The 27,476-nt window shown below is 39.6% G+C and overlaps 2 protein-coding genes across 21 annotated transcripts in view; one reads left to right on the forward strand and one right to left on the reverse strand.

Annotated features, from left to right (window-relative positions):
• SLC17A4 (solute carrier family 17 member 4) lies at positions 1–26,501 on the forward strand. 20 transcript variants are annotated; one of them, XM_047418034.1, is made up of 14 exons: positions 1–83; positions 181–234; positions 5,599–5,664; positions 7,229–7,355; positions 14,287–14,492; positions 15,369–15,602; positions 15,686–15,773; positions 16,228–16,314; positions 18,577–18,695; positions 18,815–18,976; positions 21,897–22,029; positions 22,114–22,261; positions 23,228–23,318; positions 24,356–26,501. In XM_047418034.1, the coding sequence occupies exons 4-14, from the start codon at positions 7,265–7,267 to the stop codon at positions 24,488–24,490; spliced, it is 1,494 nt and encodes a 497-aa protein (XP_047273990.1). In that variant the 5' UTR covers positions 1–83; positions 181–234; positions 5,599–5,664; positions 7,229–7,264; the 3' UTR covers positions 24,491–26,501. The 20 variants fall into 20 exon arrangements, 17 of the variants coding, with proteins under 17 accessions (XP_047273990.1, XP_024302064.1, XP_024302063.1 ...); XM_024446296.2 differs by lacking the exon at positions 5,599–5,664; XM_024446295.2 differs by lacking the exon at positions 181–234.
• SLC17A1 (solute carrier family 17 member 1) overlaps positions 1–27,476 on the reverse strand; it is a 108,310-nt gene that overhangs the window by 30,956 nt on the left and 49,878 nt on the right. The gene's annotated exons all lie outside the window — the stretch shown is intronic.

The following is a 27,476-nucleotide window of genomic DNA, read 5'->3' on the forward strand; positions in this document are numbered from 1 at the left end:
TTACCTCCCAGAATTAGACAATTGCAAAGAGCTTAGAATATTTATTTGAAAGGAATGAGGATCCTGCACTCTTCCTCCCTCAGGTTAGTTAGCTTTCAAACTTTTACCCTTAATATTCTGCTTTTGAGATGATGGGAATGGGTCTGTTTCTGTTAGAGAGCAGCTTAATTTGCTGTTTAGGGGCAGAGATTGTGGGAGTGGAGAAGAGAATGCCTGTGTCCTGAGATAATTCTGGTAAGTGAGAAGGGATGTTGCATTAAGAGCCCTGGAACTACAGGGAATTAATTCAAGAGAATGAAATTTTCTAAAAGTATAGCTGAACAGAGACAGACAGACAGACACACACACATACACACACACACACACACACACACACACACACACAGAGGAAGAAAGAGAGAGAGGAAGAGACAGAAACTAAATGATATATTTGGATTGTTTTTGTGAAGTACATTAATTTTTTTAAGCATTGATCAAATCCACAGTGAGACAATAAATGCCAATACTGAATTCTCAGAGAGGAAGATTTTCATCATGCCTAAAAAATTAATGAAAACCAAACGGTTCTGGTTTGGTTCCAGCGAATTTATGGGAAAGCAAAATAAATGAAATCTAATATGGCTTTGGGAAGTAGTTAATGATGAAGAGTTTAGGGCAGAGGACTTTATTTGCAAACTGTGAATAAGAGCCATGGGCTGTTTCTCATAAGGAGGAAAAATGTTCAGTGCTGAGACCACCTAAGATGACATTTGAGCTGTTAATAGCTCTGCCCAGCACCTTAAGGAAAAGTCTCATTCTACAGTGGACTGATAACTAGCAGAGGAACAGGGTGCATATGAATCCAAAAAGAACAGACACAAGCAGTCTTGGCAAGAAAAACTGATGAGAAATTGATATAAGAATGGCTGGCTCCATTTCTTTGCTGTTTTTTCCTCATTTACCTGGTTTCAAAATAAATAGATAAGGCTGATGACTCACACATTTATATTTCTACAAAGGCCCTTCTGTTCTTAGCTATGGACTCACAGACACAAAACTTACCTGTCAATCTTCCCTTCTGGGTCTAACAGGAGTCTCAACCCCAAGTGTCCAAAATAAAGTTCTTGCTTTTCCTCTGGAACCTGTTGCCCTCCCTGCTCATTTCGCCAACTTCTTTGAGTGCAACACTATTCACTCATTTGCTCAAGCCGTAAGTCTAGAAGTCTCTGATGATTCTTCCCTTTCTCTCATTCCCATATACACCTCATTAGCAAGTCTTAGTGGCATATCTCCAAAACAGGTCCTGAATGTGGTCTTTTTCACCACAACTAGCCTAGCCCATCCACCATCAACACTTGTACAGGTGAAGAAACAACTTCTTGTTCAGTCTCTTGGTTCTCAATCTTGTCCTTTACAGCCCATGTGCCACACAGTGGCCATAGTAGATCCAGTCCCCTTACCAGGCCTATAGGACCCAAAATGGTCTGGCCATTTTGGGAGATCGAGACCATCCTGCCCACCCCTTTGATCTCATCTCCTACCATTAACCTCCTCATTCACTCTGCATCGCCATGTTGGACTACCTTCTGCCTAGAAAAACGTGACAAACTTGCTGGTTCCTCTGCCTGGAATTGTTCTTGCTCAGCGCTGTCTCCTTCTCAGTGTTCCCGTTTCAGCTCAAATATAACCATTTCACACAACCACACTAGGTAAGTGGTTAGACTAGGCAGAGTGCTTGCCCTCCTCTCCTGATGCTAATGACCTAGTTGCTGTCAATGCTACTCTTGTTTTTTTCATACCATGTGGCATTCTTACTTCTTTCTTTTCATATGTGCCCCTCCTGGGATGTAACTTTCTCGCAGGTGTACTGTCTGTGCCTGCATCACGCTGTCCCCACAACAGCACTGTCCTCCCTTCACCCTCGGCTGTCTGTTCCCACTGCTCTCATTAACGCCAGCAAAACCATTATCGCCTGTTACTGAAAAAACTGGCAATTGATTTCTGGTTATAATAAGTAAAAGGAGAGGGCAATTTAATGAGAACTAAGTTCTTCAGTCATGCAGGAGATGGAGCTATGAAAGCACAACATTGCATTCATTGATTCAATAAATATTTACTGAATCAATGAATGAACTTGCGGCCAGTGAACTCTTAGACATTGGAACACTCGAAGAGTCTGTGTGGGTATAGCTTGTGGAAAAAAATGTTGCCCTGAAAGCTATGTCTTTAGTTCTTGTGACTGATATGATTTTTTCAATTCAACTAATTGCCCTGAGGTGTGAAAATAAATGATAAGCAAATTATTTTTCCAGCAGACTATTCAGTCCCCTCATTTTACCAAGTTTCTTTTCAGAATTACCAGAACCATTCCATTTGCCAATGAGTATTTGTTTGGATTTCAATTCAATTTTGAGTGTGTTTTCGAATTCCAGTGCAGACTAGAGGGTTCCATGGTCTAACATCTGTGGTTTTGAATGACATCATTGAGGCAACTTCTCTGTCAGTTGCTTACTTACCAGCTTTAGTGGTACGTTACATAACATTTCCACTTATCTTTAAACACAATAGCACCAAAGGATCAGGTCTATTTTCTTTTATATTAATAAGAATAGTCCTTCACAGAGAGCACATGGAAAATGATTTCATTTCACCAGCACCTACTGCTTATCCCTTTACATTTTATTCCTTTACATCTGCTTGGTGCTGTAACTTTATATCTGCTTGGTGCTGTAACTTCTCTGATCATTGTCAGTAGTAATAGATTTATTGCTTATTTGTAGTCTTCAAATAATCTCATTTTTTAATTAATAGGTCCAGTCCAGTGAAAACCAGAAAATTCCAAACTTGATCTAAAAGTATACCTTCTTTCCCCTGCCCCCCAACCCGCTGCTCCAGTTTGGGCCTGGGGAGGGAAGGGATCATTTGGTTGGTTTCTTGATCCCTTTCTCTGTCAGCAACTCCTCTCACCCCTCTTGCTAGCTGTGGCTTCTGATCTTTCCAGGGCTGGTGGGTAGGGAGTTAGAAGCAAGAAGCAGGAAGTGTCTTTCTTAGCTGGAGCTCTTGTGACCTGGCATTGGTGGTCTCTGGGTTGGATGAATGTTCAATGCTGAATCCTTTATTGTACCCCACTGGGGGCATCCACCAGTCCTCCCATGTCAGGGGTGATATGTGTTCACTAACTCAGCAGTTAGGGTTCCTTTCTCAGGTGTTGGGCATCAGGCAGTCCGCCCTGTCTTTTGGGGTCGTGTGGCTTCTCCAGACAGTTGTCATTTAAGAGATTGTAAACTGGATTTTTCCTGAGTCATCCGTATCTGGTTCACAAGGGACCTGCTGGTCTCCACCTGTGCTTCTTCACCTCTGCTGCCGTGGGACGTATCACAGCCTCCAGTGTGGTGTAGACCTTTGCTGTGCTCTGCAGCCTCAGACCAAGAGTCACCACCTCATGCCCTTAGATTCTGAGGCATGTGTCACTCACCTTTATGCACACACATGCACACACACATAGGGGACATATGTCAAGCTCCCTGAATGACCTCCTTGCAGGCAGCTCCTATAATTTGACTTGAAGTGACGGGGCAGTGCCCTCCTCCTTTCTTTCCTGGAGTGAGAGTGAATACCTGACAGAGAATACCAGCAACTGTCTCTAAAAACATTCTCACCTTTTTCATCTCAGCCTACCTGTGTCCCTGAAATTTATTTTTAATTACAGTAATAATTCAAATTACATTATTGTTGTAACACATGTAAACACCAAAGACAAAGTTCAATGCCTGCATGGCCGTTCCTACCCTCCCCATTCCTTTGCAGAGAGAGTTTCTATTTCTTCCTGGTTTAATCTAGGAGGGTTTTATATTTCCAGGAATTTATCCATCTCCTCTAGGTTTTCTAGTTTACACACGTAAAGGTGTTTATAGTAGTCTTGAATGATATTTTGTATTTCTCTGGTATCAATTTTAATATCTCCCGTTTTGTTTCAAATTGAGCTTATTTGGATCTTCTCTCTTTTTTCCTTGGTTAGTGTCGCTGATGGTCTGGCAATTTTATTTATCTTTTCAAAGAACCAGCTTTTTTGTTTCATTTATCTTTTGTATTTTTTGTTTGTTTGTTTCAATTTCCACTTAGTTTTGCTCTGATCTTGGTTATTTCTTTTCTTCTGCTGGGTTTGGGTTTGGTTTGTTCTTGTTTCTCTAGTTCCTTGAGGTGTAAACTTAGATTGTCTATTTGTGCTCTTTCAGACTTTTTGATGTAGGCATTTAATGGTATGAACTTTCCTCTTAGCACCGCTTTTGCTGTATCCCAGAGGTTTTGATAGGTTATGTCACGGTTGTCGTTCAGTTCAAAGAATTTTTTAATTTTCATCTTGATTTCATTGTTGAGCCAATGATCATTTAGGAGCAGCTTATTTAATTTCCATGTATTTGCACAGCTTTGAGAGTTCCTTTTGGAGTTGATTTCCAATTTTATTCTGCTGTGGTCTGAGGGAGTACTTGATATAATTTCGATTTCCTTAAATTTGTTGAGACTTGTTTTGTGGCCTATCATATGGTCTGTCTTGGAGAATGTCCCATGTGCTGATGAATAGAATGTATATTCTGCAGTTGTTGGGTAGAGTGTTCTGTAAATATCTGTTAAGTCTATTTGTTCTAGGGTATAGTTTAAGTCCATTGTTTCTTTGCTGACTTTCTGTCTTGATGACCTGTCTAGTGCTGTCTGTGGAGTACTGAAGTCCCCCACTATTATTATGTTGCTGTCTATCTCATTTCTTAGGTCTAGTAGTAATTGTTTTATAAACTTAAGAGCTCCAGTGTTAGGTGCATATATATTTAGGATTGTGATATTTTCCTGTAGTCCTTTTGTTGCTATATAATGTCTCTCTTTATCTTTTTCAACTGCTGTTGCTTATAAGTTTGTTTTGTCTGATGTAAGAATAGCTACTCCTCACTCCAGCCTGGGCGGCAGAGTGAGACTCCGTCTCAAAAAACAAAACAAAAACAAACAAAAAAAGAATAGCTACTCCTGCTCGCTTTTGGTGTCCATTTGCATGGAATATCTAGTCCCACCTCTTTACCTTAAGTTTATGTGAATCCTTAGATGTTAGGTGAATCTCTTGAAGACTATAGATACTTGGTTGTTTACCTGTCTTTTAAATCTTTATATGCTTTTATATATGTATCCAATTCTTTGATAGCTGTATAGTATTTCAGAAAATATCTGCATTTAACTATGCAAATATTAAATAATCATTAGTTAGCTCCTGACTTTTTGCTTTTACAAATATTGCTTTAAGGAATGTCCTGAAACATATTATTCTGTGTGGCTGTGCTTATTAGTCTCTGGTACACACCGTGAAGCAGCAATACAAGTGGGAGGATGCAGCTTGACTCCCTCAAACAATAGCTCATTTCCCCACATTTTTGCCTAAGCTTGGTGATCATAGTTTTTTAAAATGTTTATGAAAACTGATAGGTAAGAAATAATAGGATCTGGTTCTTTTAATATCCATGTCCTTGATAGCAAAGCGAAGCACATTTTCCCATGTTTGTTCTTAATCTATATTCATATATTATTCCAATAGTTTCCTACTTTTTACCAATTTACTGTATTTTATTTTTTTATTAGCTTGAAGAAGTTGAGCAAATGCTACTCCATATCTGATAGAATGCTGTAATTAATTTCTCCCCTTCTGTAAGTGATCTTCTATGGTATCTATTATTATAAATAAGTTTTGCTCTTTTTGTGTCCTGCAGTATCCTTAAATATGTTTAGGTGTAAATTTCATTTCATTTCTCTAGCTTGAGACTCATTTTGATTCCTGAATCTGAGAAATCTTGTGGTTTCATCTCTTCTGAAAAATTCCTATCCGTTATTTCCTAAAGTATTGCCTTTTCTCAGTTCTCTTTATTTTGTCCTCCTAGAAGTCCTATTCAACATACATTGGACCTTTTCACTCCATTTTCCAGGTTCTTAACTTTGCTGTCATCCCTCATCATCTCACTGAGCTTTATTCTGTACAATTTACATAGCTCATTACCGTTGATTTTGCTAATTCTTTCATTAGCTATGTCTAGTCACTTAGTTTCAAATTTTAATGCCTAATTTTTTTTGTATTTCAAGTAGTATCTTTCTTAAATCTGCCTATTCTTTTTGGTATCTTTTTATGTTCTAGGGTCCATATTTTATTTCTTCAATTATTTAAAGCATACTTACATAATGTCTTTGTCAGTTTATTCTATTTTTGGAAGTTCGCAGTAGTTTAATTTTGCTACACATTGAGTCTGAAAACTTGTTTTGGATGGATCACTTTTTTGAGTGTTTATAATTTTTTATTTTGAGCTCATAATATATAGAGCTTCATCTGCAGTAATTCTGTGTAATCTGTTTTGAGTGAATCAGACTGGGCTTGATTCTTTGGTCAGTTTTTTAGCTGGGGATGAGTTCTCAGACAATGAAGACAGTATGAATTCCAACCCTCAATTCTCCATAACCTAGATATGAACTTTCACAATTTTCAGGTGAAGTACTTTATTTTCAAACCATAACTCAGGACAAAGAGGGTTGTCACTGTTATTGTTGAAAGGGGAAGAGCCTCTGTAACCAAGTTTTGAACCCCTGTGAGGCATCTGACTCTATATTAGAATCTCCCTTATAATCGCCTCCCTGGCATGGGCCTAAGGCTTCATCCTTCATCCCCACAGGCACTTAGATCTCAGGCCCCCACATCACTGAAATTGATGCTTCTGTGACCCAATCTCATGGTCACTGAAGTTAGCACAGACATCTAACTCGGTGGAGATATCTCTTACTGTCTTTGCAGCTACGTAAAAGGGTGTTTGCTATATTTTATGTAATATGTATAGGTGTTTATAATAGTTTTTCAGGTAATTTAATCCACTGGAATCTCCTAGATGAAATTTCAAATAAGGTTGTCAAGTTTTCATGTCCATTTGATACTAGTATCAATTTAGAGACATGGGAACACAGAACTAGAAAGGATATTACAATTTATGAAGGCAATCCAGGCCAGATTTCTCACTTGCGAGATATAAATACTAAGACCCAGGGTAAACTGCGACCTTTCAAAGACCAACCAATTGGTTAGTGATAGAGCCAGGATGACAAGTTAGTTTTCATAAACCCTAATCTACCACTTTTCTTATACAGCAACATTTGCTCCTAGTTCTTAGAAAGAATTGGGGTAATATCATATAAGATTCTCCCTGTATTTTCTTTTGTATTCTTTTTATTTCAGTAAGTAAATGCCAGTCCCTAGGAAGAGAGAACCAAAATGTCTACCGGACCAGATGTCAAGGCTACAGTGGGGGACATTTCCAGTGATGGCAATTTAAACGTGGCTCAAGAGGAATGCTCCAGGAAAGGTAAAATCATGCACAGTAATCTGGTAGTAAATAAAACTAGGATCTGTGGCACTGTAACTTGTGGTACTAAATAAAACTAGGATCTGTGGCATCTTTTGTTGATACACATCATTTTCCTTGCTACCACCAATTGCCAATAATTCTATACGGTTATACATTGTTATTGATAATTATTTCATTTCTCATAAGAAACTTTGAAGGTATATAAGACAGGCAGGTATCATGACATTATTTAGAGATGAAGGAAAAAAATCAGAACAGGTTCTAAGTAGGAAATATAGAAACCAACCTTGGCTTGTCTGATTCTAAGTCCAAGACATGTCCTATTAGATCTCTCTGCTCATGTTAAATCCAGACCTGACCCCGAACCCCAAAATGGGCTTTTTGCTTCTACCATGTCATAGAAGTCACCTTTCTCCCTTTCTCTTATCTATATTACAACATCATGCTTTTTATAATATGCATTAAGGGAAACTGTAGAACATCTTATTTTACCCTAAATGCTTAATGAGTTATAACTATGTTATCCATTAATTCTTTTAAGGATATAGTCATTTCATAAGATAATGACTTCAAAAGGCAAAACCCTAACCAAGATGGAATGCTTTGTAATACTCAACATTTTAGCCAGTTTGTCTGTTAAGAATTATGCATATCTTCAAGAAAAGAGATTTCTCCTAATCTCAACCATCACAGAAGAAATCAGGAAATGTGCATGTTAGTACTCAACCTACAACTAGTCACCATTTGACCCAGAATGAATACTATTCCAGTAGTCTCGGCTGAAGGTCTCATCTGTTTCTAAGGATTTCAGAGTCTACTAGACTATACCATTGGCCAAATTCTTTTATCCTATCATTCTGTCTCTCCCTTAAAATTAATAATACGAAGAACTTATGTGTAAAATTTTACCAAGGTGCAGTATGGCATACTGGGTAAAAGCACGGGTCAGAAATCAGAATGCTTGAGTTTCCAATCCTGATTTTGCCATTTATGAGCTCATTATTACCACTCACATAGTGTCCCTTCCTCAGCCCACCTTTGGGCAGTCATTGGAAAGTTCATTTATAATTTGTCTAAAGTGGAACTTCTATGGTCTTTCTGGTTCCTTCTATAGTCTCCTACAACATCTGGCCTACCATGCCACCCAGTCCTCTGGTGACCACTCCAGGCTATAGCTGTATCAGACAACAACTTTGTAACCCACTTTACCCTGGCCTGTTGTTTCAAACAGCATCATGCTACTAACACTCATCCTGTTTTGGTAGTCTCATCCTACCTAATAAGGCAGAACCCCAGCTACTCCTCCAAGCCTTACCAAGTTATTTTGTTGTGTATCCAAGTATTTCTCACAAATGCTTAGGAATAAACCTTGCAGAGTGCTTTGTCAGTTGGTGTCCAACATCAGTTTTATTCTCATCCCCTTCTCTGGCTCATGCTTACTGGACATGGCTGGATCTTCTGTATTAGACTCCCAGGGCACTGCTGGGGCTTTCTCTGGGTACCAGTACCCCCATCTCCAAAGGCCACTCATATCTTTGCTGTGTTTCTAAGACACTCAGTGAGCTGAATCCAGGGGTTCCATGGGATGTGGAGAAATGCCCCCTCCCCCATTATCTGGTCACCTGCTTATGCAAAGTAACTGTTCCAATAACCCAGAAACCTTGAGTGAAAAAAGCTGGGCCTTCAGGTTCTGCCTGAAGATCAGTAGTTTTTCTCTATCAGTGTCAGTTAGGGATTTCTGGGGCCAGGCTGTAGACAGACATCACTTTGACCTTCTGATCCCCTTTTCCCCCAGAAGTCCATGAGCTTCTTTCTGTATCAGTCAGGGTTATATCACAAAATCAAAAGCAAATCTAGGTATTTCTGAGAAGAAAGAAGATTAATATAGGGGACTGGAAGATTCCACAAACGTTGGAAGGCTAGGGAAGCAAAAGTCAGGTTGGTTACTTTCAGAAAATCCAGGACATGACACTGCCAATGATCCCAGCCATGTGCATCACAAAGTGGGTATTTTTCAGGAGGACACCCCAAAGTCACAGGCAGAAATCCCATGTCTAACATGACTGATCCTCACTTATCCACCTGCAGCTGCCTCCAGAGCATAGTGGTTTCTCATTGAGTTCGGCCTGCCACCTTGGGCCAGAATGCCCTCATTTGTGGAATCTGAATGGAATCCTGAGGATTGTAGCTTCCAGATATTTGTCCCTCTGTTACTGTGGAGACCAGAGAAGGGTGGGAAAGGCACTGAGAACAATATCAGGGACGGTATCCTTTCTCCATATCAAATGCCTGCAGGAAAGATATACTGCCCCCCACCATGGGGAAGAATGCCATCTGAAGGACAATTTACAACAACATCCCCTTCTGAAAGCCATGGAAATGAATAAAACAAGCACAACACTTTGAGAAAGTACTTCCAACTAGATTGAAACTAAGGAATTATTCCTACCACACACTACAAACTCTAAATCTTGCAGACAGATTTAATACAATTTGGAAGAAATTGAGAGAGGAGCCAAGAGCTCATAAAACTCCCATCCTTGAGGCAGGGTGCAGTGTTATAGGAAGAACAAAGAGGATGCTGTGGAGCTTCAGCTTGTGCTCCTCAGCTTGGAGTGGCAGTGTCCAGAAGCTGGGCAGACCACAGACCCCATGAGCCCCTCAAGGGTCTGCAGTGCTGGGATGTGCTGGGTGAAGCGTGCATGGGTCCACATCCTGCAGCTTTCCCCTCACGCTTCACTGGCCTTTCTGATCTGCAATTTAGCATCAGGGGCCAGTGCTACAAAGCAGAGGAAAATATGAGTAACTGCAGAAATCAACTTGGAAATTTGGAAGGCTTTCTCTCAAATTATACAATGTTATTGCAGAATTAAAATGGTACAGTAGTTAGCTTCCCTTGAATTGGTGAAAGAATTCCCTACCTCCTCCTCCCCACCCCTGCCACCAGCCCACCCACATACACCACCACATTATAGCTGGGCCTCAAACCAGCATGGGTGGCCCTGTGCAGGGGTTTCAAAATGTGAGAACAAAGTCACACACAACTGGCTTTTATGGTCCAAGGCTGTAGGGGTGGACTACAAGGAACCTACGTAAATATGTTTGTGCAAAGGAAAGAATAAGATAAGGCATGTGTTAGATAAAAAAAGAAATTGACAGGTACACTTATGAAAGATAACAGTTCATTATATAGCTGTCACATAATGAGTGCATGCCCTGTGTTAGACACTGTTCTAAGCAGTCTTTATGTATTAATTCATTGAATTCTCACAACAATCCTTCAGGAAAAGTGCTACTAGCATCATCCCCATTTTGTAGGAGCCTGCTCAGGCACAGAGGGATGAAGTAACACATCTTAATCATCCAGGCACAAAGAGGTAGCAGCTGGATTTAAACCAGCTGTTGTTAGCTTTTACATCACACTGCTGTGCTTACGTTATTACGGGGAAATTGAGGAATATTTTCATCTTCAATTTCTTAAAGTTCTCAATAATGACAATAACAATAATAATAAAATCATAGAGTGTAGGAAGTAAATCAACAGAAGAATATGGAAGAAGTCCCAATATAGATGAGAAAGGAAACTAAGGAGGAAAAAAATGTCACTGCAGAGTTAAAATGGAATTAGTAGCAGCAAGGAGAAGATAGATTTGAGAAAAGGAAGAAAACAAAGATTGTGTAATAAAAAATGAAAACTAGTTAATTAAACATCCAATTCACTGAGCCTACAACTTCAAAGAAATTACATAGAAAAATGAAACAGACAACTTATAGAAAATAATGTGAACTCAAATCATGAAAAAATTGGATTAAAAATACATACAAGAGCTGGTTCTTTGATAAAAATGATGCTACTCAAGGCAATAAAACAATCCACTACTCAGATTAATCAGGCAGAGAGATTAAATACAAGCAATTATGAGAAAATAGGAGACAGAAGCATTGAAAATGTATAATATGCTAATTATAGGGAAAGTACATAAGTAAATGATTTTCTAGGAATTATAATTTATAATTATAAAAACTTTAATTACATAATCATAATTAACTTATTAAAATTTAATATTTAAAATATAATTGAATTATAATTTTATAGAAATTATTATTTCTAAGAATTATACATTTTTATGTTTCTAATTTATAAATATGAATAAAGAAAAAATTATACATGTCAAAAAACAACTAAGAAATGAAGAAAATTGTCAAAAAGTTATTCCTTTTAAAACAAACACAGAAACAAACAAATATATTCTAGTAGTTTCACTAGAAAAATTATATGAGATTTTTAAGGAGAGGAAAATGCCTATTTATCCTGTGCAGAAGAGTTCCAAATAGTTCATATAGCACTCTACCTTCTGAAGATGGAGCTTAGCTCCTTGCTCCTTAAGTGTGACTGGTGCTTGTGACTTCTTCCAGAGTACATTTGTACATATTAATTCATACAAAAAATTAAAAGGAGAAAAAGAAAAAAGAGAGTAATTTTACAGTGGAGCAACCTGACAAACACTACCTCAAGCCAGGGCACCAAGATCAACTCAACAGTAAGAAGTCTTGTTGACAGTGTGTGGCCTTAATATGATGTGATGAGAATGAGTTTACCTCCATGGCCTTCCTCTCAAAAACACATAATCCCAGTCTAATCATGAGAAAAATATCAGACAAATTTCAATTAAGGGATGCCCCACAAAACACCTGACTGGTGCGTTTCAAAACTATCAAGGTCTTTAGACATTTTAGACTACAAAGTATTTAGAATACATTTTAGAAACAAGGTAAGTCTGAGAAAGTGTCATACCAAAGAAGAGCCCAAGGAGACATGACAACTAAGTGTAATGTGGCTCCCTATATGGGATTCTGGAACAGAAAAAGGACATTAGTTAAAAACTAAGAGATCTGAATAAACTGTGGACTTTAGTAGTTAATAATATATCACTGCAGGTTTATTAATTGCAACAAATGCACCATAAGATGTTAATAACAGGAAATTTTGTGTGAGATATAGAGGAACTCAACAATTCTATATATCTAAAACTGTCCTAAAATTAAAAATTTATTAAGAAAAATGGCTATGTACCTAAAACATTTCAGATCACAGATTGAGATGGAAGCTTATAACTTTTAAAAAAGAACAAAGCTAGTATAGCAAAAAATAGCACATACATATGTACATAAACAACATTTTAAGCTCAACTATATATACTAAATAAAATTCCAGCTAAAATGCTAGCAAAATACATCATGTTTTTAAATTTTGTAATAGCCTATTAAGAATAAGAAGAGATCATCCCAATAATACGAAGGTGGTAGGCTATTATAATTATAATAAACTTACATAAACTTATTCAGTTGTTATCACAGTGCCTTGAGGTAGACTCTGTTATTAATCTCATTTTTCAGGCAAAATTTGGGGGCCACAGAGAGCTCAGTACCTTGCCCCAGAATACACAGCTATAAGTAGACCACACAAGCTGGAATTGGAATGCAGGTGTCTGATTCTAGGATTAAAATACATTTTATAAAACTTATGTATCCCCATAAAAATATTTAAAAGTAGGAACAGAGTAGTTTAATATAATTAAAGGACATGTCACACCAACAACTAGCAGCATACCTAGTGGTGTAATGTGAGAAGCAGTCTCAGTAAATGCAAATATAGCTGAGGTGCCCATTCTTACCATTCCTGCTTTGTCCATTTTTTTGAAAATGCTGGTGAATTAAATTACCCAGGAGAATGAAATACGTGTTGCAAACGGTAAACATAATCAACTATATTTTTCATTATTTGTCCATAATTTGTCTTTCTTTATTGAATCAAAACTCAGTGGGGGAAAAGCTGATGAATATGATAGGAAAAAGAACAGTTACACAACAATAAAAAGTAATTTACAAAATTTGTGAAGGCCTTAACTGAAGATAACTATAAAATTCCACCTCGGACTGAGTAAAAGACCAATACTGGTACATGGGTAGGTATCTCTTCTTGACTAGAAGACAATCCTACAAATGTGGCAATCCTTCTTAATTTAATCTGTCATATCAATATGACTGATCAAAATTCCAATGTAGATTTTCATGGGTGGTGCATTGGCTGGGTTGGGGATGGGGAACTAAATGCTCTCAGAGTTGAACCAAAGGTAAGAGCTAGAACTTAGCAAGAGCATTACTACACAAAATGAAACCATGCTGTCCATTCCAAGAGCATTTGCTCCCTTTCAGGAACCAAGAAAATGGCATCTTCATACCTTGTGATCATACATTACCTCTGGGATTTCTCTACAGGGATAGTGGATGAATTCTTCCCGCTGTTGTCAAACTAATGTATATGGACTCAACCACAGGGATATCCCCAGAGCTCCTATGGAACACTAGCAAATTTTGTGTAAGCATAGATTATAGTATTAAGATGAAGTTTAAATACTTCTATGATCTAACCATAGCCTATCTTTCAAGTTTCATCTCTCCCCAGCCCCAGACAAGCTAATCTTCCATGTTTCCTGGTTATAAATGGCACTTCCAGCTATCCCAGCTGCCCAAGCAGGGAACTTGGGAGTCATCTCCAGCAGTTTCCTCTCTCTCACTGTCCATACCCAATCGGTCACTGCTCCCAGCCAATTCTTTCTCTAAATCCACTTCTTCCCATTCCTATTCTAATCTTCTCATCCCAGAGCCCTGCCTAAAAAGCTCTCCCCTAATGCTTGTTCTGACCAACTCCACACATTCTTCAAGTCTCTGAGAAATGTTTCTGAGGGAGCCACCTCCCCCATTACCTCCCAGGGGAACAAAATTCCACTACACACCTACAGAGGAATGTCTGCTCTCCCTATATTTCTGCATCTCAGACAGATACCAATCTTCTCCTTCTTCCAGACTTAGGGAGAGTGGGAGAAAAGCATTCTGATTGTGATTTTTCATGCCCTTTTCCTCTCAGGTTTTTGTTCAGTCCGACATGGGCTGGCCCTCATCTTGCAGCTCTGTAATTTTTCAATTTACACCCAACAAATGAACTTGAGCATTGCCATCCCAGCTATGGTGAACAACACAGCCCCACCTAGCCAGCCCAATGCTTCCACAGAACGGCCCTCCACTGACTCCCAGGGCTACTGGAATGAAACTCTAAAAGAATTTAAAGCAATGGTAAGTTTAATGAGACTCTGGACTCTTTCTTTGACTCAAATAATTTGACTTAAAGAGTTATAAAAGAGTGAGATTCATTTAACCACTAAGTATTTACTGAACATGTACTATGTGCCAGGAATGGCACAAGTACCTAAGTATCAGGCCGAGCATGGTGGCTCACACCTTTAGTCCCAGCACTTTGGGAGGGTGAGGCATCTTTACTAAAAATATGAAAATCAGCCAGGCATGGTCATAGGCACCTGTAATCCCAGCTACTCTGGAGGCTGAGACAGAAGAATCTCTTGAACTGGGGAGGCAGAAGTTGCAGTGAGCGGAGATCGTGCCACTGCACTCCGGTCTGGGTGACAGAGTGAGATTCTGTCTTAAAAAAAAAAAAAAGAAAGAAAGAAAGAAAAGAAAGGAATAAAGAACATAATAAGTATCTAAGGGGATTGCATCCCTACTTAGTGCATATGAGTGTAACCAGGGACTAAGTTAGAATAAATGAAACATTTTACCATTTAGTGGACATAAATTCTTCCCCTACAATGATGAAAATCACTACAAAATATGTTTCACAGATTTGTCTGCTTTTTCTTCCTTCCACGTATTTTTTTTTTACTACCTTGCTTATGATGCTTTCTTCTTTATAGTCTTTGTTTCTTTACGAACTCTCTTATATTTTAATTTTTGGTTAGTTGTGTCAGGGTGAGCGGAAAGAGTATATTGGGCATATATTTAGGGTTTTTAAATACATGATACTGGTATATTGGAGGAACTGGAGAAATGTAAACAGAAAGATAACTGCCAATTAATTTTTGCCTCTCAAGTCCTCACAATGAAAACTGTCAATCCTTCAACTAAAGACAAACAGTAACTCTCTTTGTCATCTAGGCCCCTGCATATGACTGGAGTCCTGAAATCCAGGGAATCATCCTCAGCTCCCTCAACTATGGCTCATTCTTGGCTCCAATCCCCAGTGGCTATGTGGCTGGAATATTTGGAGCCAAGTATGTGGTTGGTGCTGGCTTGTTTATTTCCTCATTCCTGACCCTCTTCATTCCACTGGCAGCTAATGCGGGAGTGGCCTTGCTCATTGTCCTCCGGATTGTACAAGGCATAGCCCAGGTACCAAGATGTTTTCCAGGTATAAGTGGAATATAGGTTCCAGAATGACCTCAGATCTCCAAGAATGGAATTTTTCCCCCCAGGTTATGGTATTAACTGGTCAGTATTCAATTTGGGTCAAATGGGCTCCCCCACTGGAAAGGAGTCAACTCACCACCATTGCTGGATCAGGTAACTGGTACCCTAAACCTCACTTTACATGCACTGTCCAGGAGAACTCAGCAAAGTCCTGCCAACAGAACCAAGATCTTATATATCAATCTCTGTGTCTTCATAGTCCTTTCCTTAAAGCACTACCCCATACTGCCTTACTTGATTGTAACTGAATAAACTGAATGCTTACTATGTGCCAAACATTCTTGTGTTTTGCACATATTTTCATCTTATCCTCAAAATAATTTTATAAGTCAGCTATATATAATTACTTCCATTTCACACATATGGAATTTCAGACACAAACAGACTAATAACTTCTCCAAGATCACATAGTTACCAAGTGAAGGAACCTAGATAGTTTGGCTTGAAACTCATACCTTCACTCACTGTGCAACTCAGCATTGTAGAAAGCACATAGAGCCCCAAGACGAGTCCTCTCACCCAGAACATCCTCGCCTCTTCTGTTCAGGGTCAATGCTGGGGTCCTTCATTGTTCTACTTGCTGGTGGTCTCCTCTGCCAGACCATAGGATGGCCTTACGTCTTCTATATCTTTGGTGAGTGTGCTTTTCAAATCTCCAATTTTTATGACAGAGACTTCTGTGATGCAATTTATCTATGGTTAACCAAATCCTAATAGATATGGATATTTACATAGCTAAAGCTGGTAGTGTTCAGAGCCAACTACATTTAACATTTAAGTTTCAGCAGCCCGAGTGTGTAGCTAGAATAATCTTATGACATTAGAGGCATCATAACATTCCTTACTGCTTCTAAATTTGACCTAAAGGAATTCAGAGCAAATTATCTCATAAAATGTTGAAAATACTATCTTAGGCTAGGCGTGGTAGCTCATGCCTGTAATCCCAGCACTTTGGGAGGCTGAGGCAGGTGGATCACATGAGTCCAGGAGTTTGAAACCAGCCTGGCCAACATGGTTAAACCCCGTCTCTACTAAAATTATAAAAATTAGCCGAGTGTGATGGTGCATGCCTGTAATCCCAGCTACTCGGGAGGCTGAGGTGGGAGAATCACTTGAACCCAGGAGGTGGAGGGTGCAGTGAGCCAAGATCACACTACTGCACTCCAGCCTGTGTGACAGAGTGAGACCCTGTCTCAAGAGAAAAAAAAAAAGAAAATGTTATTTTAGTCAGATTACATTTTAGTCATGCTTTTTAATTTAATATATTCTTTAAAATTTCTCCAGTTATTATTATGGCAAAAACCACAATTGCTTTTGCACCAATCTAATATCATAGCTAGAAAATTGTGTGACTGTGACCTAATCATAGGTAAAATACTAATTAGAGTAGAGAATCAACTAGTGGAGACTGCAGGACAGGGCAGATTATGTGAGGTTCAGAAGTGGACATAATACACAGAGAGATGCTGCAGAAAGGTTCCAAAGACACTTGGAAAGTTCCAGAGGCAGTATTTTACTACGTTACAGTTTTACCTTCATGGAGCTGTGGTTGGAATCTGCCTAGCTGCTGTTACCTTTAGTTTGTTTAATATTTGAAACATTCTCCAAAATCGCACCCCTAAATTGTTTATGGTAATACCTTATAGTCCCACTAGTGTGTTCATTAGAGGACAGGCCTGTTAGATCAAGGGTTTCTGTAAAATCAGGTGAATATATTCACCAAAAATAAAATATGTAATGATTCCATAGCATATCAACCTTTAAAGTTTTTATCATGAAAACTTTGAAAGGGCAGGTTACAAAAATTATTCAAACAACAAGAAAATCTTACTGTGCTTATGGTTTCAAGAAACAGTAAGGAGCATATACGCAATAGAAACTCACTAAATATTTGTTGAATAAATATTAACATCCTCCAACCCCAATGTGCAACATTGCTAATTTTCATATCTATCCCTCCGCACTTGATTATGTTCCTTGATGGCAAAATTGTGTCTTCGCCATTTTATATTCTCAAAATTTAGCAAAAAGCGTGGTGTATAGTGGCTGCTGTATGATGTTTGTGAAGGAATTTGTAAATGACATGCTAGCCAAACAAAGAGAGCTCATAAGATTTCTTAAGATTCTAAAAAGGGAATTTGAAGATGGGCCATATTTCCACTCAATACTGATAATGTTAAATTCCCAACTCTGTAATAATGTATATATTAGAAAAAATGTCTTTGCTGAGGATTCATTTCATTTCATATCTACAAATTGGGTAATTAATTTCACATAATGTACTGCTGCTCACTCTTATGTGCTTTGAGGAAGATAAGAGATAGATATGGAAAGGTTTAATGATGAAAGGAACTCTGCAAAGCATGACTAGCAGGAGGGATGCTGACTGGTACGTGAATGGTGAGGGCATTTTCAAGCACGTGGGGCAAACACGCTACTAACTTGTAAGGGTGCTATAGCTTTAATAATAGTTCATTTCAAAACCTCCCAAAACTCAATGGTTTAAAACAATAATCATTTATTCCCATGGTTCTTTGTGGGACAGCTGGGTGGCTCCACTCTCTGTGTCTGTCATCTGCCTTGGTCAATGGATGAGCTGGAGCATAGTCTTCCAATAGCAGTGGGCAAGACCCAAGAGGATAAGTTTAAAAAAATCCTTTTTAATGCCTAGGCTTGAAACTCCTCCATGCCATTGGCAAAAGCAAGTTGTATGGCCAAGGCCAAAGTCAAGTGGTGAGGAAGTACCCTCCCCCATGATAGGGCCATGCAAGGGATAGATGCCAGGAAGAGTGGTGTACTGAGGCCAGTCACTCTGTCAACCACAGGAATCATCTTAGAGTCAAACTGAAAGAAGTACTTCAATCCATCCAGTGCTAACTGGATCCCCTTTTCCTAGGAGGAATTGGCTGTGCTTGTTGTCCTCTCTGGTTTCCTCTCATTTATGATGATCCTGTGAATCATCCCTTTATCAGTGCTGGTGAGAAGAGATACATTGTGTGTTCATTGGCTCAGCAGGTACATTGAGGAACTCCTCTGACATTTCTCTATGTCCCTCTAGACGTCTGAGAGATGAAGAATGTGATAGAGAGAGCTGCCTTCTGACGGAGGGGACATTGATGTGTGCTTTCTTCCAGGACTGTTCACCAGGCTGGTCTCTTCCCATTAGGGCTATGATCAAATCCTTACCACTCTGGGCCATTTTAGTCTCTTATTTCTGTGAATACTGGCTTTTTTATACCATTATGGCGTACACACCAACGTACATCAGCTCGGTACTTCAAGCCAACCTCAGAGATGTAAGTACAGAGAAAGCTCATTCTGATCTTCTGTTTAAATGCTTAAATAATGAGAGCTCATATATAATCCTCTGTCTGTCCCATAGTCACAAAATCGGGGGATTAGGACCAGGCAGGACCTCCATATAGGAAATGCAATCTAGTTAATTTGGATTCTGATTGATCTCAATGTGGTTCACTACTTACTGCAGGAGGATGATACATATGGTTCTAGTTTGATTTTCATACACTATCATATTTTATTATACTATTTTCATATATACTATTCATATTTATCATATTTTAAGGGCCCTGTGCAAAAATTTTATACTCAATCCCATCAAAATTTGCAAACAAGATGCTCTGCTGGCAGCATAAATAATAAAGATTAACCAAACAAATTCTGCCTTTGAGAAAATTGTGACAGAGAAACATAAACAACATATGCTGAAAATAAGACATTAATAGGACATAAAGTCCCAAATAAGACTTACATAGACATTTGCGGAGTAATGTTTGTTTTAAAAAATCATTTTTATTCAAGTATAACATAGAGAAAGAAAAGTGTGTATATGTGTACAGCTCTCTGAATTTTCACAAAATAGACAGATACTCTGAATGGCTGACAGGAGCCTTTCAATTCCTGCTGGATGGATGTCTTAAAAGTGGCTATCAGATTTCATAACATGTTAGTGACAGTTCACAAAGCCAGTGTTATTCTTGTACTCTCACTCTGTACTCAGGAAGAAGCCTTCTCGTATTGATTGGGTTCCTCTGGTGAAAATGTGCTAAGTAGCCAACAGAGAGCTGACCTTCTTAGCAGTAGTCAGCATCTGCATGCAAGCAGGCTGCAGGCACTGAGATTAGAAAGCCCCAGGAGGCAGTGGCTCTGGGTCTTTTCAAAGAGGAAGAGGGCCAGAAATTAAACCAGAACCTTAATCCAGGGGATTGGGACACCACATAAGCAGGAGTCCAGTGCTAAGCAACAGACTTCCTGAGGCTGGCTGTTGGGAATGATTTGTCTTTGGTGTGAGGCTGGGTGGGCTTGACCCTCAGAGGCCAAGGCTGAGGAAGAGGAAAATGGGAAAATGAATGGAAAGACAAGTAGTGACCAGAAAGCAGAGCTTTCCAGGCTAAAAAGTCAAGAGACCTGGATTCTCATTGCCTTCAGGGCATTTTCTCACAAAGTCACATAACCTTGACAGCCTCGGCTTACGCATCTGTAAAATGAACTACTTGAACCAGGTGAGTGCTGAATCCTTTCCATTGTTTGGATTATATACAACAGAGGAGTCTCCTTTTCATTGCATTATATTCGATAGAATTTTAGTTTAGAAGTTTAATTGATAACAACAAGGTTCAACATTTTAAAAACTATATTGAAACATAGAGTGGGTCAGGTGTGGTGGCTCATGCCTATAATCCCAACACTTTGGGAGGATGAGGCAGGTGGATCATCTGAGGTCAGGTGTTTGAGACCAGCCTGGCCAACATGGTGAACCCCCTGTCTCTACTAAAACTACAAAAAATTAGCCAGGTGTTGTGGCATCTGCCTGTAGTCCCAGCTACTTAGGAGGCTGAGGCATGAGAATCGCTTGAGCTGGTGAGGTGGAGGTTTCAGTGAGCCGAGATTATGACATTGCACTCCAGCCTGGGCAACAAGAGCTAAACTCTGTCTAAAAAAAAAATAGAAAGACTGAAAAATCTTTCTTTCATTACTGTTCCTAATCTGCCCTGTCCTCCCAGCCCATTCCAATGATAATTCTTTCTATGTCTTTTTTCTTTTTCTTTCTTTCTTTTGAGACAACGTCTCACTGTGTTGCCCAGGCTGGAGTGCAGTGTTTCACTCATGGCTCACTAAAGCTTCGACCTCCCAGGCTCAAGCAATCCTCCTACCTCAGCCTCCTGAGTAGCTGGGACCACAGGCGTGTACCACCATGCCTGGCTAATTTTTTGTGGAGATGAGGTCTTGTTATATTGGCTAGGCTGGTCTCGAACTCCTGAGCTCAAGTGATCCTCCCACTACAGCCTCCCAAAGTGCTGGGATTACAGGTGTGAGCCACCATGGCTGGCCTAAATTTCCTATATATATTCTTTCTTTGTTTCTTTATGAGAATGCAAGCATACATGAATGTGTATTCTTATTTTCCCAACTTTTAAAATACAAAACAGTATACTTAGTAATATGCCGCTATGCTTATATACTAGGTTTTTGCCAATTAATATGTCATGGAAATCTTCATATCAGTACATGAGAACCTTGCTGAGCAGTATTTGGATTGTTTCCCATCTTTGAGCAATGCTGCAGTGAAAACCTTGTTCATTTCTCATACCTTTGTGCAACCCTCTGTGGAGTAAATTTCTGCATATGAGATTATTGAGTCAAAGGGTAAATGCACTATAAACTTTTATATTTGTTGTCAAATTGCCCTCAATAGAGCACCAGTAATATTTGTGAGAACCTGATTCTCCACAGTGTTAGCACAGAGCATGCCAAAAAAAAATGGGTGTTTTTGCCAATTTGATCCATGAAAAATAATATCTCACCATAGTTTTACTTTGTATTTCTTTCATTATGAGTAAAGTTGGATACCTTTTAACATGTTTAGGAGCCACTTATTTTTCTTTTTTTCTTCTTTTCTTTTTTAAATTGTCTGTTATTACCCTTTGCCTATTTTTGTACTGGGTTTTGGTCTTTTAAATATTTATTTCCAGGTGATTTTTATATATAAAGAGAGCCTTGTTCTTTTTTTTTTGCAAGCAGAGCTATGAACATATACATACTAAAAGTATATTGGCTCATTATAGTAACATGGAATTTGTATTAAAAGTGATGCGTATATAAAGAAAAGCCACAAATGTGGACAGTCTGTCCAAGGTTGTCTGTGTCGTGGTGGGGGTGGTAAGGGCACATGCACCTGACCTAGTCTCTGGTCCTCAGAGTGGGATCCTGTCTGCCTTGCCGTTTGTTGTTGGATGTATCTGCATTATCCTTGGAGGTCTACTGGCAGACTTTCTTCTCTCCAGAAAAATCCTCAGACTCATCACCATCAGGAAACTCTTCACTGCCATTGGTAAGGGAGAGACTGGACACAGGGGTGAACGTGGGAAGCTCAGAGCAGCCTTCAGTTTACTCTGTGTTTGTCCTCCTACCCCAGGGGTTCTCTTCCCATCCGTGATCCTCGTGTCCCTGCCCTGGGTCAGATCCAGCCACAGCATGACCATGACCTTCTTGGTGCTGTCTTCTGCCATCAGCAGCTTCTGTGAATCAGGAGCCCTTGTTAACTTCTTGGATATTGCTCCTCGGTAGGGACCTCTTTTGCCTCATCCTTTCAGACACTCAATTCAAGTCTAGCAGCCCTAAATCTACTCTGATGTGAAAGTAAAATGTGGCAGGTACAACAGGTTGCAGGAAATGTCAGCACCAGCTCTACATCCTACATCTAAATAATTCCTGGAAGAGACTCAAAGCTGGTGGACCATTGTGAACTTAGTTTTTCTGGGCGTGAACAAGAGGAGTCAGTGGCCATGCTCAGAGTCAACTGAGGGAGACTCACACAAACCTCTCTCTGTTGAGGAATGCAGCACTTGCCTAAGGCGGAATCACTGAAAGAAATCTTGAGATTCTATAGGGTATGCTCATGAAAATCTTTAATGAAGGCAAAGGACACAGGACTGCAGGAGAAATATCTGTCTCTGATACAGTAAAAACAGTTGACTGAGACTTCCAAACATAGCTCCCAGGGTGCTGTCCCAGTCAACAGGACATCCTTCATCTTCAGATAATGAACCACCAAGAAATGTGAGAGATGCCCTTGTCACAGGGGAGCCGACGTCTCATCTGGTGAGGGGTCTTTTATACCCACGGAGGGTATAAAAGTTACAAGATCAGACTCAACAGCAGAAGCCAAAACAACAACAACAACAACAACAACAACAACAACAACAACAACAAAAACCTTACAAACCAGGTGCAGACCATCAATCTGACCATCTTGCATAAACAATGTTGACAAGTTAATAGAGGTTACCCCCTTGGGAGTACCAGTCCCTAGCACAGGATTATACTAATCATTGGTCAGTACATTTCATTCAGGTTTCACCAAGGCTTACACAATTCCAGTCATCTCCAGAGGTAAGCACAGAGTTGCAGCAGACCAGCTGATATTAACCCTTTGTTTGCACAGGAATATTTGCCTCCCTCTCCCGGGTATTGAGACTTTCAAACGTAGGTATACTTGGTTATAATAGAGTACCATCTCTCTCTCTCAGGTACACTGGCTTTCTCAAAGGACTATTGCAAGTCTTTGCACACATAGCTGGAGCCATCTCTCCTACTGCTGCTGGATTTTTCATCAGTCAGGTGAGGTCAAATGTTCTGATGAATATTCATAAAAGAAACCTATAGAGGCATGGTTTTTTCACATATGCACGGCCTTGTATCCTAGAAGATGCTTTTAAAGTAGTCAAAAATAAACTAATTTACATGATGACTTAAGAATTAAAGAAACTTAAGATTCTTAAGTTTCCTAAGAATCTTACTGGTATAAACTTTACATGAATAAAGAAGTATGTGGCATTCTTATTTTCTGCCATATACTTCATTTACTGGAAAAAAACACTGCCATATACCATTCACTTACTGGTGAAAAACCACAGGAAAGTTAAAGAATGACTTTCCTGTGGTTTTTCACTGGTAAATCAGAAAAATAAATGAAGAATAACAAAGAAAGAGTATTCTTTATGAAATCAAGTCCCTTCTCTTTTCTTGAAGCTTCAGTTCCCTCCCAGGCACTAGCATACTGTCAGGAAATGGTTGTTTAAAATGGAAATTCTCAAACTGCTCTTGTTTCTCCTGTCATTCAATGACTTATTCATTCATTCATTCAATAAATATTAAACAGTAGTATGTGCTACGTGCTATTTAAGTGAATGAAACACAATTCCTTCCCTTGTGAAACCTATATTGTAGAAAAGAAACAGAAAGAAATCTATGGAAGTAAAATATATGACATATTGAATGGTAACAGGAGAATAGCAAATGCTTAGCAAATGCTAAGAGGAGAATAAAGCACAAGGGGTGGAATTTCTAACTACAATGATCAAGGAAGGACTCACCGTAATCACTTGCTTAAAAAGAACACTTAAGCAAGGACTGAAAGGGAGTGAAGATGTGAGACAAATAGGTATCTGGAGGAGGAGCGTTCCAGCCAAGGAAATGCCCAGTGCTTTGGACTCATGGCAGAAATGTACTTGAGTATTCTAGGACCAACTGGGAAGCCCATGGAAGCCAGAGTGGAGGTCGGGGAGGGAGCAGGAGGACACAGAGCCAAAGCCTTTCTGAACCAAGAGGGACAGGAATTGGGTGACCGTTAATAACTTGTAATTTTCTGCCTCCAGGATTCAGAGTTTGGTTGGAGAAATGTCTTCTTGCTTTCAGCTGCTGTTAACATATCGGGCCTGGTTTTCTACCTCATCTTTGGCCGAGCAGATGTGCAGGACTGGGCTAAAGAGCAGACATTCACCCACCTCTGAGCAAACCGAGAGATGTGCTAGATCCTGGTGCTTAGTTCATCATTGTTTTCCCTCACAGACATTTCTCTTTCATGCCTGCTTGACTGATAAGCCATTAGCTAGACCCTGACTATGTAACGCTAAAGATTTTACCATGCCTGGAAATTTTACAGGGGAAGAAAACACGCTAGTTATTTAACTGCAAGCTACTAAAAGCATAGGTGTGTTGAGATTTCTGTGTTCTCCACTCTTCCACTGTTATCCTAGTAAAAGCATCAGGGGCTGGGGACAATTTCTTTCCAAAGCAAAAGAGGAAGCCAGACCTTGGGACCGAGAACTGAGAATCACAAGGGAGTTGCGCCCAACATGCAGAACATGAATCCTCTGAGCTGTCCTCAAAAGAAAGCCCCAAACAACAGAAAGCATAGTGTTTTCCATTGTTGGTGAAAAATGTCAAGGAGGAAAGAACAATAATGATTCCATCATGATAAGAGGAATGAACGTGTCTGCAACTAATGGGAGCAAGATAGTACACTTTAACTCTTTCAGACAACTTGCATTCTGTGGATGCCAGCTTTGGAATCAGAGCCGCCTCTGGAATACCTGTGCTTCCAGAGTTAGCTTTTGGACAGTTACCTTCTTTCTGGCCATCTTGACTTCTGCCCCACATCTGCTTTTTGGCTTTGTGCAGATCTTTAACATGTTAGTGAACAGACATTGCCCAGTGTCTCTTCTAGCCCCTCCAACAGTTCTTCATGTAGCACTGCTTTTGGACAGTGACCCATGATATCTGCCTTCGTTTGCCCCTCTGACTGTTGGAATCCCACGCACCATTCAGTAGGATTCAATTCAATGTGGAACCATTCAACATTCACCTCATTAACCTAAAATGTCTCCCAAAGATGTATGTAAGACACACACTGCCCTAACCTCACTCCAAATGTCTGGAGAAATGTGTGTAGTGCTTTTGTTAAAGCCCCTATATGGGCAGCATGGAGGATCATAAGATAGCAAAACCATTTCAACACTAAATGAATATTAATGTACACACACCTTGTGTGGATGGCAGAAATCAAATCATACACAGTATTAAGGAGTTCAGTGTCTCGGGAGGGCAGATAACTTTAATCAAAGTATCACACAAGTGAATATGTAATAACAACTGTAGAAATAATGAGTGGTTACATGGGTTATGAGAGTGGATGATAAGTGCACTAATCTGAGTGTAAGGAAGGGCCACCCCTGCAAAGTTTCAGCTGAGCTGGGATCTGAAGGATAATAGTTAACTGTTGTGGGAGACTGAGAGGAGAATATTTTAGGAAGAAAGAACAGCATAAGCAAAAGTTTCATGGCAGGAGGGAGAAATTAGCTATGGCCAGAGTATAGAGAATAAGGGAAGTATGATTTGTGAGGAGACTGTAGAAGAATTAAGGTCAGGAGCACACAGGATGATGTAGGCCCAGTGAAGTGCGTTGGTCTTTATTTTGAAATCAGTAGGAAGTGTCCTGGTTTTCAAAGGCACTCTGCATGAGAGATTAGGTTGGAGTAGGAGCTTACAGTGTAGTCCAGGAGAGAACAATGGCCCCTGGCATGAGGCAATAGACATGGTGAGAGGTGAATGGATTATTTGATTTAGGTGGATTATTTGATTTAGGGAATAAACCTGACGGGTCCTATTACTAAGTGAGAGAGTGAAAGATGTCCAGAGTAACTCCTGAGTTTTGGTTTGCTATTATATTAATGGGGATGCCTCTAACACAGACAGCAACACAGATAGCAATTATATCCAAGTGTAGACAACAAGAAGGAAAATGGACACATGACTCTGGATTTCTCTTGTGAGACCTGGGCTCCATTTACAAACGTATAAATCATCTTGATATAGGTAGTGATTACAATTTTTGCATGGATGAGTCATCCATGGGTGAAAGTGGCATAAGAAAAGGAAGCTTGGGAATAAGCCTTAAAGAATTCCAGTATTTAATGGTCAGCTGGAGGATGATTAGCAGAAAGAAAGAAAGAAAGAAAGAAAGAAAAGAAAGAGAGAGAGAGAGAGAGAAAGAAAGAAACAAAGAAAGAAAGAAAGAGAGGAAAGAAAAACAAAAGAAAGAAAGAAAGAAAAAGAAAGGGCCTGAAAGATAGAAGGAAAATCAAGAGAATATGGTGCTAAGAAAGGGAAGGGAAGAGAGAATGTTTCCAAAAAAAGTGAGTAGTTACCAATGCCAAATTTGCAGTGATCTGTCCAGATGAGAAGTGAGCAGAAAGTACAGAAAGGAGACCACTGCTGAGAAGTTTGGGTATGAAAGGGTGGTGTCTTTGTCGCTTTTGTGTTGCTATAAAGGAATGCCTGAGGCTGGGTAACTTATGAAGAAAAAGAGGTTTATTTGGATTGTGATTGTGATGGCTGGAAAGTTCAAGATTGGGCATCTGCATCTGGCGAGGGCCTCAGGCAACTTCTGCTCATAGTGGAAAGTGAAGGAGTGTAGGCCTGTACAGAAAGCACATGGTGAGACAGGAAGCTGGGAGGGGGAGAGGAGGTGCCAGGTTTTTTTAAAACAAGCAGCTCTTGTAGGAATGATCTCACTCACCCCTGAGGAAGAGCTTTAATGTCACTAGGGATTCACCCTTATGACACAAACACCTCCTGCAAGTGGACCCAACATTGGGATCAAATTTCAATATTAGATTTGGAGGGAACAGACATCTAAACCATAGCAGAAGGAAAGAGGCAAGAAAGTAGCTGCAAAAGCATATGGGCTCGAAGAAGGAGTTGAAAACAAACATGTTTAAGATTGTGAGAAGGTGCTAGCTGACAGAGAAAAGTCGCATATGCAAAAAACACAAAGCACTAATGGAAAGTTCCTGAGAAGGTTGTGACAAGGGAGGAATTTTGTGACTTGAAGCCCAGTTAGGAGAATTATGAGAGATGGTGTGAGGACAGCTCCTGCCTTTTCACCTGACAGCCCAAGATGGTGTCTTCATCTGCTAGTGCAAGATCTAGGGAGGG

Source organism: Homo sapiens, chromosome 6 (genome assembly GCF_000001405.40).
Source record: "Homo sapiens chromosome 6, GRCh38.p14 Primary Assembly".
In the NCBI taxonomy this organism is placed as follows: domain Eukaryota; kingdom Metazoa; phylum Chordata; class Mammalia; order Primates; family Hominidae; genus Homo; species Homo sapiens.

Coding starts and splice junctions, on each gene's coding strand:
- SLC17A4 (XM_047418034.1), top strand. CDS start 7,265: ATGTCTACCGGACCAGATGTCAAGGCTACAGTGGGGGACATTTCCAGT. Junction 18,977..21,896: donor TTCAAGCCAACCTCAGAGAT/GTAAGTACAGAG, acceptor TCTGGTCCTCAG/AGTGGGATCCTGTCTGCCTT. Junction 22,262..23,227: donor TTCTTGGATATTGCTCCTCG/GTAGGGACCTCT, acceptor TCTCTCTCTCAG/GTACACTGGCTTTCTCAAAG.